General features: G+C 48.0%; 1 long non-coding RNA gene across 1 annotated transcript, besides 2 other annotated features; it reads right to left on the reverse strand.

Moving 5' to 3' along the window:
* Nucleotides 1-1,245: 1,245 nt before the first annotated feature.
* Nucleotides 1,246-5,772, reverse strand: LOC105376158 (uncharacterized). Its single transcript, XR_930142.4, has 3 exons — nucleotides 4,620-5,772; nucleotides 3,779-3,967; nucleotides 1,246-1,973 (listed from the first exon to the last, which is right to left on the reverse strand). It is a non-coding gene; the product is annotated as an uncharacterized LOC105376158 (long non-coding RNA).
* Nucleotides 2,437-2,938: an enhancer, noted in NCBI's record as "H3K4me1 hESC enhancer chr9:98362911-98363412 (GRCh37/hg19 assembly coordinates)". NCBI's record gives its function as "activates a minimal SCP1, AML or CMV promoter by ChIP-STARR-seq in primed H9 embryonic stem cells {active_cell/tissue: H9 hESC(primed)}" and the evidence as "EXISTENCE:reporter gene assay evidence [ECO:0000049][PMID:30033119]".
* Nucleotides 2,939-3,438: an enhancer, noted in NCBI's record as "H3K4me1 hESC enhancer chr9:98363413-98363912 (GRCh37/hg19 assembly coordinates)". NCBI's record gives its function as "activates a minimal SCP1, AML or CMV promoter by ChIP-STARR-seq in primed H9 embryonic stem cells {active_cell/tissue: H9 hESC(primed)}" and the evidence as "EXISTENCE:reporter gene assay evidence [ECO:0000049][PMID:30033119]".
* Nucleotides 5,773-14,490: the final 8,718 nt, after the last annotated feature.

A 14,490-nucleotide genomic window follows, 5' to 3' on the forward strand; every position in this document is an offset into this window, starting at 1 on the left:
ATGGTTTCCTCTGAGTTCTTGGCTGGTGGGTTTCTGGGAGACTTATCAGAAGGCTGAAGGACACCCTTGGGTTCAGGAAGCCACCAAATAATTTCCCTGCATAGCTCTGTTGGGAACTTGCATTTTGCAGTGGGCTTTCCTTTAGTCTGGGCCTTTTATGAGAAGAAGCTGCAGAGCTAGGCCAGACCCCACAAGGCTTTTGTGATTTGGAAATAGGCAGCTAACAGGGAATGAGATTTTTTTCTGGTTGGTTCCCTGCCAAACCGATTCAAGACATACATAAAATTTAAGTCTTTGGTTCCCCTGATTTTTGTTTCTCCTGCATTTGGCTCTCCTATGAGCAACCTCTCATTCCATTTACTATTATCTTGGATTGAATTATGAAACCGGAAGAATTTGCAGAACTAGCCAGGGTAAATGGGTCTTGCTAATCCTGTGGTTAGAGGGTCAAATCAGCAAAACACTTGGGTGTGAATTGTCCAGAGCCAATTTCATTACTCCCTCTATTTGTAAAACCTGGGTGAGAAAAATTGTATTAATAACAAGAAAAAAATCCCTTGAGTGGTTTTCCTACTTCACATGTCTCAGCCCACTCCACAGCACACTGCAGAAATCCAACTCTTCCCTTTGAAAGTCGTCTGCATCTCTGGCCTAGCTTGCCCCTCTGGAAACATTATTCTCTCTTCAATCCCACAAACGTTTTCATTGCTTTAGCAAGTCAGGTTCATGGCAAAAGCTCTGCCCCCAAAGAACAGAGTTCCAGGCTGTACTCTGTCTTGTTACGACTGACTTACAAAACATATGGATGCATGCATAGGTTTGACTGGGAAATGTCTGCTGCTATGTGGCATGGGTACACAGAGTAGAGGCAAAGAAAAGTCTACATGGTGGATTGCAGAACTGTTCCTGATTCTTTTCAACCCTCCCTGTCTTTATATCCTTTCCCTTCTGAGCAGAGGTGGAGAATATTTTCCTGCCTCCACGATGTTGGGTTTGGCCATGTGATTTGCTCTGGCCAATGGTGATGCTAGTGAATGTGATGCAAGCAACAATCAGAAATGTTCTTGTGTGATTGGGTCTGCCTCTTTGGCTCCTATCACCACCATGAAAACATGTCCCGGGTAGCCTGTTCATCCCAGGAGAAAACGAAATATGAGAAGCAAACCCAAACCAAACCTGCAGTCTAGAGTCAAGCCCAGCACAAAACCCCACCAAGAGGAGCCAAACCCCAGCCAACTGCACATGTGAGAGTTGGAAATACATGTTTATTGTTGCAGACACTGATTGTGAGGTGTTTTGTTTTGCAGTAGTATTGTGGCAAGTGCTAACTCATACAGTCCATTCGAGACCAGTTAAATTCGTATCTTTAATTTTGTTAGCACAACTCAAGAAAGAAACCAATGCTCCATACTGCAGCTCTGTGGCAACTCTGTGGAGTCTCCAGTTGACCCAATGGTGTCAACAACAGAACTCTTCTTGCAGAACCTCAAATGCTGAAATGTGATCATATAAAATTGATGAATACCTTCTAAGGCTGAACAGTGGCCACCCAGGAATGTCTGCTTGGCCCAGAGGGGAGGAAGTGAAATGTAACAGTCACGAACAGGACTGTGAAGTTCACGGCTGAGGTAAAATCATGAAATAAATGGTGACAGAAAAAAGGAACATTGTACGTGTGTTCTTCAGGATGAAATTTCTCAAGATTCTGCTTTCTGGGAGGTAAGTGAATGGCTTGAGTGTGTGTCGGGGGGGGGGCAGGGGCTGCCTCCTTGAGTGGTCCTTCTGACTCTTTGGCTGTGGGTTTTTTAGGAAGGATCACTTCTTTTGTAAACCTGTATTTGAATGATCGCCTGAAGCCACCCTGTGACAGTGACAGTGGGCTTGGCCTCTGTTCTTGGACCTTTAGTTTTCTTTCTGCATTTACTCTCCAGGGGATTCCATTCAGTCCCATGGCTGTAGATCCCGTCTTGATCCTGATGAGTTGAAAAATATTAATACATCTATCTCCGGCCAAGGATTCCCTTGAATTCCAATCTCTTACATCTAATGGTCAACTGGAGGATTTCAGTTGTAGTGTATAACTCAGATGTTACACATGTATAATATACGTTGTATATATAATATTTTTATAATTATGTATGTAAGATACGTAATCTTATATTACTCTATATATTGATATGTATAACACAACTGAATATGTATAATATCTTGAGATGTATAATGGGTACCACCTGCTGAACGTCTGAAATTGAACTGATATTCACCCTCCCTAATAATTTCTTCCCCTTTCCATCTAAATGAATAGAAACTCCATCCTTTCAATTGCTCAGGCCAAAAGCCATGGAGTCATGTTGACTTCTTCTACTTTTTTTTCTTTTTTGAGACAGAGTCCCCGCTCTGTCGCCCAGGTTGGGCAGGGCTGGACTCAAGCACCAGCCAGGCTGCCGTTCTCCAGCTGAACCAAATAGATTCAGACCAGCAGGGGGTAAGGCGTGAACCAGGATACTTCTTACCTCTCTGACCTCCCCTCACTCCCTGGTCTCCTCCTTGTTGTCGGGGAGCTGTCAGAGCCTGCCAAGCTTGCTCTCGCCTGGGTCTCTCCACTTGCTGCTCCTGCTGTCTGGAATGCCCTTCCTTCCCCAAAGGGTCAGGGAGGTCCACGCTCTTCTTCTTTCAGGTCTTCCATGAAAAATCATGTTCTCAGTGAGGAAGATGCTCCAGGAACACGTGTGAAATGAACAAAAGGGCAGGATTGCCCAGGGCAGGAGTATCCTTGTTCATGCCTTTACCCCTCTGCTGCTGTGAACCTATTTGGTTCAGCTGGAGAACGGCAGCCTGGCCAGGGCTTGAGTCCAGCCCTGCCCACCGCTGCCAGCAGCACCAAGGCTGGCGTCCTCTCAGCACTCACCGCAGGCCGGGCCCTGGGCTCAGCCCTTCCTGTGCACCACCCACTTCACTCTCCAAGCACCACGGGAGGCAAAGGCTACTACCGCCAGCTGGGTGCAGAGCCAGTCCTCCAAGACCACAAGAACAGCCTAGAGCCATTTCATTGGAGGTGGGGAGACATGCAGTGCGTTTAAAAAACAGCACATTTTGGCCGGGCGCGGTGGCTCACGCCTGTAATCCCAGCACTTTGGGAGGCCGAGGCGGGGGGATCACGAGGTCAGGAGATCGAGACCATCCTGGCTAACACGGTGAAACCCCGTCTCTACTAAAAATACAAAAAATTAGCTGGGCGAGGTGGCGGGCGCCTGTAGTCTCAGCTGCGCGGAAGGCTGAGGCAGGAGAATGGCGTGAACCCCCGGGGGCGGAGCCTACAGTGAGCCGAGATCGAGCCACTGCACTCCAGCCTGGGCGACAGGGAGACTCCGTCTCAAAACAAAAACAAAAACAAAAAAACAACAACAAAAAAAACCAGCACATTTTCTGGAGGCCAACAGATCACCCAAAGTCCACCTCGAAAGTGTAGATGGAGTTTATTTTTTGAATTCCCCTTGTGTGGATCAGGGTCGTGTTGGTTACTTGTCAGGGGTTTAGAATCAGGTTTGGGATAAGAAAAGGAGACAGTGGCAAAGGAATGTCCCCTTCATCAGCGTGCATGTGGGAGTCAGTGCTGAAGGGGATTTTTTTCTTTTTCCCAACTTGTTCCAGAAAACAAATGACTTGAAATGACAACCCATGGGCCAAATTGAGTCACAGACGTGTTTTGTTTGGCCCATGCAGAGCTTTTTGAAAAATCTGAGCCAACGCTTAAACATCAGGAATTTCACATAAATACCTGAAACTTTGGAATGTCCTAGATGTCCAGGAGACCTGGTGATTGCAGTCCACACTCCTGTGTGGCAGCAGCCAATGACGCCCCTTTCAGATGAGGCCATTGCTTCCCACTCACCTCGGTCCCCACCAGGCTGGCCTTATATACTGGTGTTAACTGCCTTTGCCTCAGGAGAATTTGAATTTGCCACTCCTGAAATAAAGTCATCTTTTATTTCAAGAAGCATGGGAAGTTGAAAATTAAAGCAGTTGCTTCACAGCACAAATAAATTGTACAGCAGACCAAGGGCTACAGACCCGAGAATAATCCCCCAATGGAGTCTACACAAGATTTTGAAAAAAATACCCCAGCCTAGGTTGGGTTTCCTAGAAGCAGAGCCCAAACCAAGGATTCTGGTGCAAGGGATTTTTTGCAGGATTGGGCAGGGGAAGGAGCAAGCAAGGGTGTGGCCACTGAGGTTGGATTGCACACAGCGCTGGTCCCACCTTGAGGCAGGGGGCCCCCTTCCCCCTACCAGGGGAGGTAGGGGCTGGAGGAAATGCCAGGGCAGAGGGGCTCCCACTCAGGGCGCAGAGAGCAGGCTCTGAGCTCTCAGCAGCGGGAAGGGGACTGGGAGCTGGAGGACATGTCCTGGTAAATGGGATCGAGTGGGCATCTATAGTAGTTACCATACCTCCTACCACCAGTTACAAAGGCAACGAGTGCTTACTACGAAGGGATTCGTAAATATAAGAAAGGTTAAGGAAAGATCATTACTTGCCTTACAGCCTAGAGATAATAATCCTTCATACACTGTATTATCCTTTCTTCTTTAACTCTGAATTAAAATAACTTGAGCCCTTACCCTCCACGACTTGTGGGAAATCCAGTGCCCTTCCAATATTTCTGAGCATTCTCTAGTGGGGAGAGGGGTGAGTGTGATTGACCAACGACATCCTCTGCTGGGATCTGAAATGGATCAATGGATGGCAGTGTGTGTGCCAAGGTCACGCTTTCTGAAGGCCGCTCCCAGCTACCACCTGACAGATAACAAGCTGCTCTGAGAACTGCCTTTGGCTCCAGGAGTCCCCAGAGCCTTGTAGTGCCTCCCTCCACTGCATGGCAGTCTAGGACGATTCCACCCCACCCTCCTTCCTTCTCTCCTTCTCTGTGGGTCAGCCCTGCATTGCCAACTCCCCCAGCTTCCTCCAGTTCTCCACCTAGTCTCCATCCAGGCATTTCCGCTGATACAACCCTTGCATGTTTCATCCTGTCTTCGCATGTGATCCTCAGACCTGGACTAACACAGGCACTTACCTTCTCCCAGGTTGCCTATTGCTTCCTACACAATTTGTGGTTCCCTTGGATCATCCTGGCCCCTGCCTCAGCTGGAGGTGACTGAGCACAGGGGTCACAACTCAGAGTTTCCAAAGGGAGAGAAGCAAGCATCAAGAGAGGCCCTGAAGACACCTTTGATGCCTGACAATGTTGCCTTAGTCTTGCATTTTGTAGGACTCTTCTCTCAGATGCTGAGTCCTGGGCCCACTTAGAAGCCCACCTAGGAGGCCAGAGAAGGGCAGGGGCAGAAATCAGCAGCGGAGCTCCTGGCATCCGTGGCCACGGGAGGTGTTGTGTCATGCCCCCGCTCTCTGCTCTTCTCTCTTCAGCTATGTGCTGTCTCCCAGTTCCCCATCTTGCGCTGCCTATGACTCGCTGTGCAGTCTTCTTGCTCCCCGTGCCCTGCAGTGAGCTGCTTACCTAGCATCCTGGCTTTGGCACTAGTGTTTTGGTTCCTGTGTGTAGCAGGTGCTGCCTGTGCCCTGCCCACACCTCCTTGACATTCACGTGTGCCCCAGAGGCTGCTTATTGCAAACACCCCTGAAAGCCTTTGCTTTTTAAACATGTTTAATTTTAGATTCAGGGTGTACCTGTGCTTGTTTCATGGGTGTATTTTATCATGGTGGGGATTGGGCTTCTGGTGTACCCATCACTCAAGTAGTGAAGATGGTACCCAATTGTAGTTTTCCAATCCTTTTCCCCTCCCCACCCTCCCCTCTTTGGGGGTCCCCAGTGTCTATTATTTCCATCTTTCTGTCCAAGTGCCCCCACTGGTTAGCCCCCACTTCTAAGTGAGAACAGACAGTGGTTGATTTTCTGCTTCTGAGTTATTTCCCTTAGGATAATGGCTTCCAGTTCCATCCATGTTGCTGAAAAGGACATGATTTCATTCTTTTTTATGGCTGCATAGTATCCCATGGTGTATATGTACCACATTTTCTTTTTTTTTTTGAGACGGAGTCTTGCTCTGTAGCCCAGGCTGGAGTGCAGTGGCGCGATCTCAGCTCGCTGCGAGCTCTGCCTCCCGGGTTCACGCCATTCTCCTGCCTCAGCCTCCTGAGTAGCTGGGACTACAGGCACCCGCCAACATGCCTGACTAAGTTTTTGTATTTTTAGTAGAGACAGGGTTTCACCGTGTTAGCCAGGATGGTCTCGATCTCCTGACCTCATGATCTGCCTGTCTCGGCCTCCCAAAGTGCTGGGATTACAGGCGGGAGCCACCACGCCCGGCCCACATTTTCTTTATCTAATCCGCCACTGGTGAACATTTAGGTTGGTTCCGTGGCTTTGCTATTGGGAATGGTGCTGCAATAAACATATGCGTGCAGGTGTCTTTTTAATATAATGATCTCTTTTCCTTTGGTTTCCAATACCTGTAGGGGGATTGCTGGGTTGAATGGTAGTTCTATTTTTAGTTCTTTAAGACATGTGAGAACTTTTTCTCATCTTGGAAGGTGCTTGGCCTGAGCTCGGGGCCAGCCAAAAGTGCCATAAAGTTAATGTCCCAGAAGCATCTCTCACCAATGACAGACAAGGTATTGGATGAGAACCTAGTGTTTTGCCTCGTGGCTGGGGTGACTCTGAGGGGTATTCTGCACAGCCTCCAGAGTTCCCATCACACTGCAGTTGTCCTGTGGAAACTGGCTTGGGAACATCCCTTTATTGTCTTCCCTGTGGATGTTTGGGTTTGTGACCCTGTGCAGGAATTACTGGGCACTATGTCTGGGGCAGAGGTGACTGAATGTGTGCAAAATGCCTGGAATAAATGGCTGGCATGTGGCTGTGGTGGCCGGGGCTTGAGATTTGGTGGCAGGCCATACTCAGGAAAGAACAGAAGTATCTTTCCAATGCAGATCTGACGGTCAGCACTTAATTCCGGAGCCTAGTATTTTCTCACCAGGACAAAACCCAAAAGGCCAACTGGCCCCTGAACATGAAGCTTTGAGCCCAGCAGTTCTCAACCCTTGGCTCTCCTCTTTAAAGAATACCAAGATTTGGGCCCCACCCCTAGGAATTCAGGTTTGACGGGTCTGGGGCTGGCCAGGGTAGCACTAAGAATGCTGGTTAGCGTGTGTTGGAGCTGACTTGTGCAGCTCAGGAGGGCCAATGTTCTCTTGCTGATAGCTTGAAATTGGCCAGGGAGAAATATTCGCATCACAGAAACCAGAACTCATCCCCTCGCTCCAGAGAGCTGGTTGTTAAACACTCCTGGCACACCACTGAAGAGGCCCTGTGTCATTATTACGGGAGCCACAACGTGAGCTGTTCCCTCTGCAGGGGTCAATGTCCCAACGTGGGATTTGTTGCTCACTTTGAGGCAGAGGCTTTTACCCGCAGAAGGCCTGAGGTCCAACTCAGTGGGGGCCACGTTGAGTCTGTAATTCAACTTTGAAGGTGGAATCTCCCTTTTTCTGCTAGTTAACTGTGTGACCTTAGAAAAGATGTCTTCATCCTCAGGCCTCCAGCTTTCTGTCTGTTTGATGGGAATGGTAGCCTGGAGCTCCTGGAACTGTGCGAGAATGAAATGAGGTACCACAACTGGGTCATCTGCCACAGTCTGCCATAGAGACGGGCTCCATGAATGTCCCTTTTCTTTCCCTTTGTCTGAAAGGGGGAATAAAGTACAAAATGTTGTTCCCGAGGGTCTCCTTCTTGGAGCTGTTTTCTGAATGACCATACCCTGGCTCTGGGTGGGCCCTGGCCAAAGTCCAGTTGGGAAGTGCAGGGAAGAACCACAAGGAACTGCTCCTTCCATGGCGGGCCTGGGCCTGGGGGGTACTGGAGGTAAGTTTTTAGCTGGAAATGACTCTTCCAACGATGACTGCTTTCCTTGATACAAGAAAACTGGGGGCTGTTGGCCATTGAAAGAATAAAAGCGCGACATTAATTACAGTCTCACCCATGACAATTTACTCTGACTAAGATCTTGCCACTCACCGTTTCATATGATCTCTTTTAACCTGAAAAGCAGCTCTTTTGCTCCCTTTCTAACCCAGACCTAGTATTTAGCAGGGTAATGGGATTTATGATTTTGTTTACATCAGTCTCCGTGGCGATTCACCATAAAAGATCCGTTGCTTGGCAACTTGGCATTGTGGGGCTGCAGTGGAGGGTGGAATTTTTTGTCTCTCTGAATCAAGGGCTTAAGGAATAATGAAAACTTCTGCTCATACTTCTCATGAATGCTTTTATTTTCAAGGTCAACCAAATGTTTTTCCAGGAAAGACTAATGCACTTTTCTTCAAGCGATACACCGTAAAATGTTTCCCAAGATTATCCTGTCTCTGAGCGGGGGATGACCAGCTCTAGACGTTTTTATTCTCTCCTTGCTGCTGCAAAATTAGGTTTGCACAACTCTGAGACCGTCATAATGGAGCAGGTCTGTCTCATTTACAGGCATTTGCCGCACTCATTAGCAAATGCCTTTTTTTTTTTTTAATGAGCTGCTATACACTCTGAATCACTTCTCATCTCAGAAACCAGTTTCATTTGGTTTGCAGTTGGTTTACCACGATCTCTTTGATGAAGGGGTCAATGTTAGCAGAGGCCTGGAGGGCACAAAACAGGACCCCAATTTCCCTCTGAGGTTCCCTATTGACTATAGGCGTTTCTACGAATGATCAAAGGGCCTGTTTTAAAACATGCAAATGCCCTTTCCTGACCTCTTTCTCAACATGGGCACACATGAAGGGTAAAAGAGTTGACTCATACTGATATGCATGGACACGGCCCAAGCTGGAGGTGTGGAGGCCACGGCGAGAATAATGATGATGATGACAGTAGCTAATTGAATACTTACCACGTGCTTTATATATATTATCTCGCTTAATTCTTGCAACAACACTTAGCCACGTGTCATCAGCTGGGGGGCCAGAGGCAGCTGCCAGTGCAGTCGAGACCCCACTGATGGATACCTCTCCTGCCAGGCGCCTCACTAATTCCTCCCCACTGCTGTTCCAAGCCAAACCCGGCTCAGCTTCTCACCACGAGGGAACCCCAGCTGCCCTGGTTGTAGGCCTATTGACATTTCACCCTCACCCTGGGTCAAGTTTGCCTCTGTATTAGATCAATCTACTTGATAACATTGGGTTTAAGGCAGTGATTGTGACTAACCAAAGTGCGCTAGGCTGTGGTGCCTGGGAACGATGAGGATCACCTGGAGGCCTTGTTAGCGTGCAGATTCCAGAGCCTCACCCCTAGAGAATCTAATATAGCAGGTCTGGAGCGAGGCCCATGCATTTTTCTTTCTTGCAGGCACTGTGATGGTGCTGCTGGCCCCCGGACCTGCTGTGAGCAGCACTGCTGTCAATGTCTCTGCCTAAGCCCTTCTCTGAAGCCTGGAAGCATTGCAGTTTCCAGCCTGGGATTTTATGAGGGTTCAGTAAATGTTTGATGAGAAACTTCATGCTACCCAATTTTCCTGTTTCACTCCCTGCCAAGGACTTGGCGACCTTACATTTGTGGAGTGTTTTCAATTTCCATGCATTATGTTACATTCATGGAGTGGTTTCCCATATACGTGCATCATGTTACATTCGTGGAGTGGTTTCTCATATACATGCATCATGTTATTTGGCTCAGTGGGGTATGGTTTTGCCCATTTCATAAATTAAGACATGGAGACTAAGATGATGATTTACCTATGTCCAAAGGGCGGCCTATAGACCATGAGCCAGGCCTTTGGATGCTAAGTCCTGTGGTCTGTTCGCTCCACCCTAGCTGCCTACCTCTGTTTTCCATCATAGAGAAGTGGTCTCAATGCAGCACAATAGAATACAGGCTCTTTGGGGGAGGCAGACGTGGAACCAGGTGAAGAAAGGAATCCTAAAATAGAGGCTGAGAGCTGGAGTCCTGAACATTCAGTCAGCACCCAGTTCTCCACCCATTAAATGAGGATAAGGGTCTTTCTGTCATAGTCTGTGCAGAGGGTTGAATGTGTGTCCAGGGTTGTCCCAGAGTGAGCTGTTGCTGGTCTTCCTAGTGAGTAAGGGGAGACACTTGAGGGCCGAGGACAGCGAGGCTGCTGCTCCTGTCCATTGTGGATGTCCCACAGACCAAGACAAATGTTAGTGATTTTTGTTTAACTCTGAAATGGCAGAACTTTTTTTTTTTTTTTTTTTTAAGAGACAGGGCTTCGCTCTGTCACCCAGGCTGGAATGCAGTGGTGTGATCATGGCTCACTGTAGCTTCAACTGCCTGGGCTTAAGGGATCTTGAGTCCAAGTAGCTGGGCTACTCAGCCTCCCAAGTAGCTGGGACTACAGATGTGTGCCATCAAGACCAGTTAATTTAAAGAGTCTTTTTTTTTTCTTTTTTTCTTTTTAATAGAGATGGGGTCTTGCTATATTGCCAGGCTAGGAAAACATCATTTTTGATGAAACTAAATCTTGGTTATTTTCATTTTGAAACATGAAAGCTTGTGATTTATAGATCATTTCACTTCTTTTCTTCTTTTAACACTAATTAAGGCATTTAAAAGGGGATTTAAGAAATTGTTCAGTCAACTTGCATGTAAGCATGTTAGGGAAGAACAGGGATCACTAGAGGAGAATGTTAATAGTGCCTATTTATCAAGCACCTACTACGTGTGCCAATCACAGCTTTTATGAGGGGAGGCGTGATGTGGGGAAACCAAGGCTCCCAAGGTCACCTGTGCAAGCTTGCATTTGACCCTGTGCAGCTCAGCCTCCAAAGCCAGCTCTCCTAGCCATTCTGATGTAATCTCCCCTGTATCAAAAAACAAAATCTACCACTGATTTTACAAAATCTAAGTTTGGAAAGAGAATCTTCTCCCTCTTCTTCTCTCAGCTTCAGCTGTTTTCTAAACAGGTGAGTACAGATGCTTATTTCATTTCCTGTTGAGTTTCCTATCCTCCAAAGCCCAGTGGTGTGACATACTTCAAGAATGGGAGAAGGAGAGAAAAGGGGAGAGCAAGGGGATCCCAGAAGCAGAAAGAGGACAAAGGCGGAGTCTGAGCCACTGATGCTCCAAAAACGGTGCCCAACCTGGTGATCCCCAAACTGAGTAACTCGAGCCTCCCTGCTGCCACATCAGCCCAGCCGTCATCATCAGAGTAGCTATTCCTTCTAGCTCCTCGTCTAAGGAGACACTGAATTCTCTACGTTTTCCAGATGTGGACACTGAGATGTAAAGATGTTACATAATGTGTCTAAGAACACGGCATGTAAGTAGATGGTTGGGCTGAAGCACCCAAACCTAAGCTGGCCAGCTCTAAACATGCATTGCTTTCCCCATTCTGTGCTGCTGCTCGCGGAAAGAGACTGGGCCCAGACATTAGTAATGGTCTCTCCAGGGGCAACTCGTGGGGAGCGGCTGTGGTCTCCCTGAGCTCACAAGAGGCTGGAGGATTTTCACAGGTGCTGGAGGACACTCCTGGGCCACAAGTCTCATGGGCTACGAGTCTCAGCCTGACTAGGACTCAATCTGACATCTCCTTGAGGCCAAGAAGTGTTTGATGAAGGAATGTTGATTCAGCTCCAGGGAGGAAGGGCAGAAGCAAGGGTGGTGGGCGGAGGGCATGTTCAATGCAGCTCAATTTCATTGTACTTGGCTTTGCCTCAAAAAGTCTGCGTGGAAGGTGCAAGCGGCTCTCAACATGGACGCATCCCCAAGACAGGTTTTTTTTTTTTTTTTTTTTTTTTGAGACAGAGTTTTATTCTTGTTGCCCAGGCTGGAGTGCAGTGGCGCAATCTTGGCTCACTGCAACCTCCATCTCCCAGGTTCAAGCAATTCCCTTGCCTCAGCCTCTTGAGTAGATGGGATTACAGGCACCCGCCACCATGCCTGGCTAATTTTTTGTGCTTTTTAGTAGAGGGGGGTTTCACCATGTTGGCCAGGCTGGTCTGAACTTCTGACCTCAAGTGATCCACCCACTTCAGCTTCCCAAAGTGCTAGGATTACAAGTGTGAGCCACCGCGCCCGGCCCTGCAAGACAACTTTTTTGAGTGAAAAAGACAAATCATAGGTAGATAGCACACTATTTATGTGAAGATGCATATACACACAAAATACCATAAAGTTTCTGTGGGCGTATATGTGCCCACACTTGCATTCGTGCAAACACATGTGTGTCTAGAAGGAGTTATTTCTCACCGGGGCTACCCCAGAGGGTGGGATTGGAGTAGTGGTCAAGAAGGACTTTAGCCTTATCCAAATATTTTAATTTTAAAGAGTAGAGCGGATCTGTGTATTATTTTGGCAGTGGAAACCTACACTTAACATGGCAGTTAAATAAAAAGCTGCCGTTTCTCTGACTGCCCCCCGAGGGCTGCCATTTGACAAACTCTGCATTGACCATCCCCTGAGTAACTGAGGCTTGGCGGTGTCTCTGTGAAGTCCTGTGACTTCAGTCTTGGAGTAAAGAGCAAAATGGGTTGAGGCTATGCGAGTTCCCACTGCTCTTGGGTCTGGGTCGGAGGCCACTGTCGTGACACTGGGAAGTCCTGCCCCGGCCCGGTGGGCCCTTCCTTTTTTTTTTTTTTTTTTTTTGAGACGGTCTGGCTCTGTTGCCCACGCTGGAGTGCAGTGGCTTGAGCTCAGCTCACTGCAACCTCCACCTCCTGGGCTCAAGTGATTCTCCTGCCTCAGCCTCCCAAGTGGCTGGGATTACAGGTGCATGCCGCCAAGCCTGGCTAATTCTTTTTGTATTTTAGTAGAGACGGGGTTTCACCATGTTGCTCAAGCTGGTCTTGAACTCCTGAGCTCAGGCAATCCACCCGCCTCGGCCTCCCAAAGTGCTAGGATTATAGGCGTGAGCCACCTCGCCCAGCCCGCCCTCCCTTTCTCACAGACCTCTTACTTCTTCTACCTCCTGTCTTTTAAGTCTCTCTGACCCATTGTTTTTGATGCTGCAAGGGAGCTCAGTAAAGGCTTAAAGGGTCTTTCTTTGCACACACACCTGAACCTTACCAGAGAGTCCAGACAAGACGTTCTGGAAGGAGGGGCAAGTAGCCTGCGTCTGGGCTGCCACGGTGTGTGTGGGGGGCGGTTATGCTGGTGCCTCCGCCGCACACACCGAGGCTGGCCCAGCCTCGGCCACAGGGCACCAGTCAACGTGTCTATAAGTTACATTCAATCCTGCAAAGCAGGCAGATCTTTCTTACAGGGAATTCCTTCTCAACTCATTAGACATGGGATTAAACAGATACTGTGTTTCCCCTTTACCTTAATCTCCAGTAATCCCAAATAATCTCCCTACTAAAGATGACAAAGTCCTCCGTGGGGTTGACTCATATGCCTGTGGCTTGGGCAGCCAGGTGCCTGTGGCAGCATGAACTGCCTCCCTCCAGGGACGTGTCCAGTGTCTGGAGGGGACCCAGGAGCTGGCAAGTTGCCAAGTTGACCTGATTCAGAGTAAAATCCTCACCTCTTTCCTAACTGTGTGACAGCGTCTCAGTGCTCGTATTCCATGAGTGCCAAACCACACAGCCCAATGTTGTGGGGGATCAGAGTCCAGCTCTTGGGGGCTTTCCTTCTGGGCCCCCCACTGGAGTGGCAAGGAAACCCAGACTTTCTTGTCAGGTAGCAATGTCACACAGTGCAGCAAAGGACTCATTCGGTGAGAAAAAGACATGACTGGTGAGTTCGAGGAGGATGTGGAAGCTCAAAGAGATGGTTCAATAGAAAATAATTACATTTTATTTGGATGTAATGGATGAGTGGCTAATCATGCCTGCAAAGAATCTTTATTCCCTGGTGCAATATGTAGCTGATGTGCTGTGCTTGGTGAGGCAGCCTGGTGCAGAGACAGGAATTTGGATTCTGGAGGCAGGAGAACTGAGTTCGAGTCCCATTTCTGCTACTCACTAAGAGTGTGATCTTGGACAAACCAATCACCTCTCTGAGCCACAATTTCCTCACCAGGAAAAGCAGCTACAATAACTGCCCTTCCATGAATGTGAAGCTTAAAAATAATATATATAACAATAACTCTTATCATAGTACCGTTTATGTTACATTAGTCAGAACTCATAGTCACAAGTGACATAAACCCAATCCCAGCAAGATATTTTTTAAAAAGCAATTTATTGGCTTATCTCACTTAAAAGTCTAGGAGCTTCAGGCATGGCTTAATCTAGGTGCTCAAACTGAACCTTGAAGAATCAAGCTTTCTCTTTCATTTGAGCTGGCTTCAAATTCCCAGATGATACTTGCATGTGTTGGATAGATCATCTGTCCATCCTCAAGCCCATTACCATGTCCTGAGGATCAGAATATGTTGGTCATGCCTTCATCCTGTGTCGGATCTTGCAGCCAGGCACGGGGGTATACCCCACATGAACCAGGGGGAGGTTAAGGGGATAATCCTAGGGAAAACTAGGTATGTGTGCCCTGGATATGGGTCCCCTGATCTCCCAAGAAAGGATCATGGAGGCCAG

The sequence above is a fragment of the Homo sapiens genome, chromosome 9 (assembly GCF_000001405.40).
Source record: "Homo sapiens chromosome 9, GRCh38.p14 Primary Assembly".
Classification (NCBI taxonomy): Eukaryota; Metazoa; Chordata; class Mammalia; order Primates; family Hominidae; genus Homo; species Homo sapiens.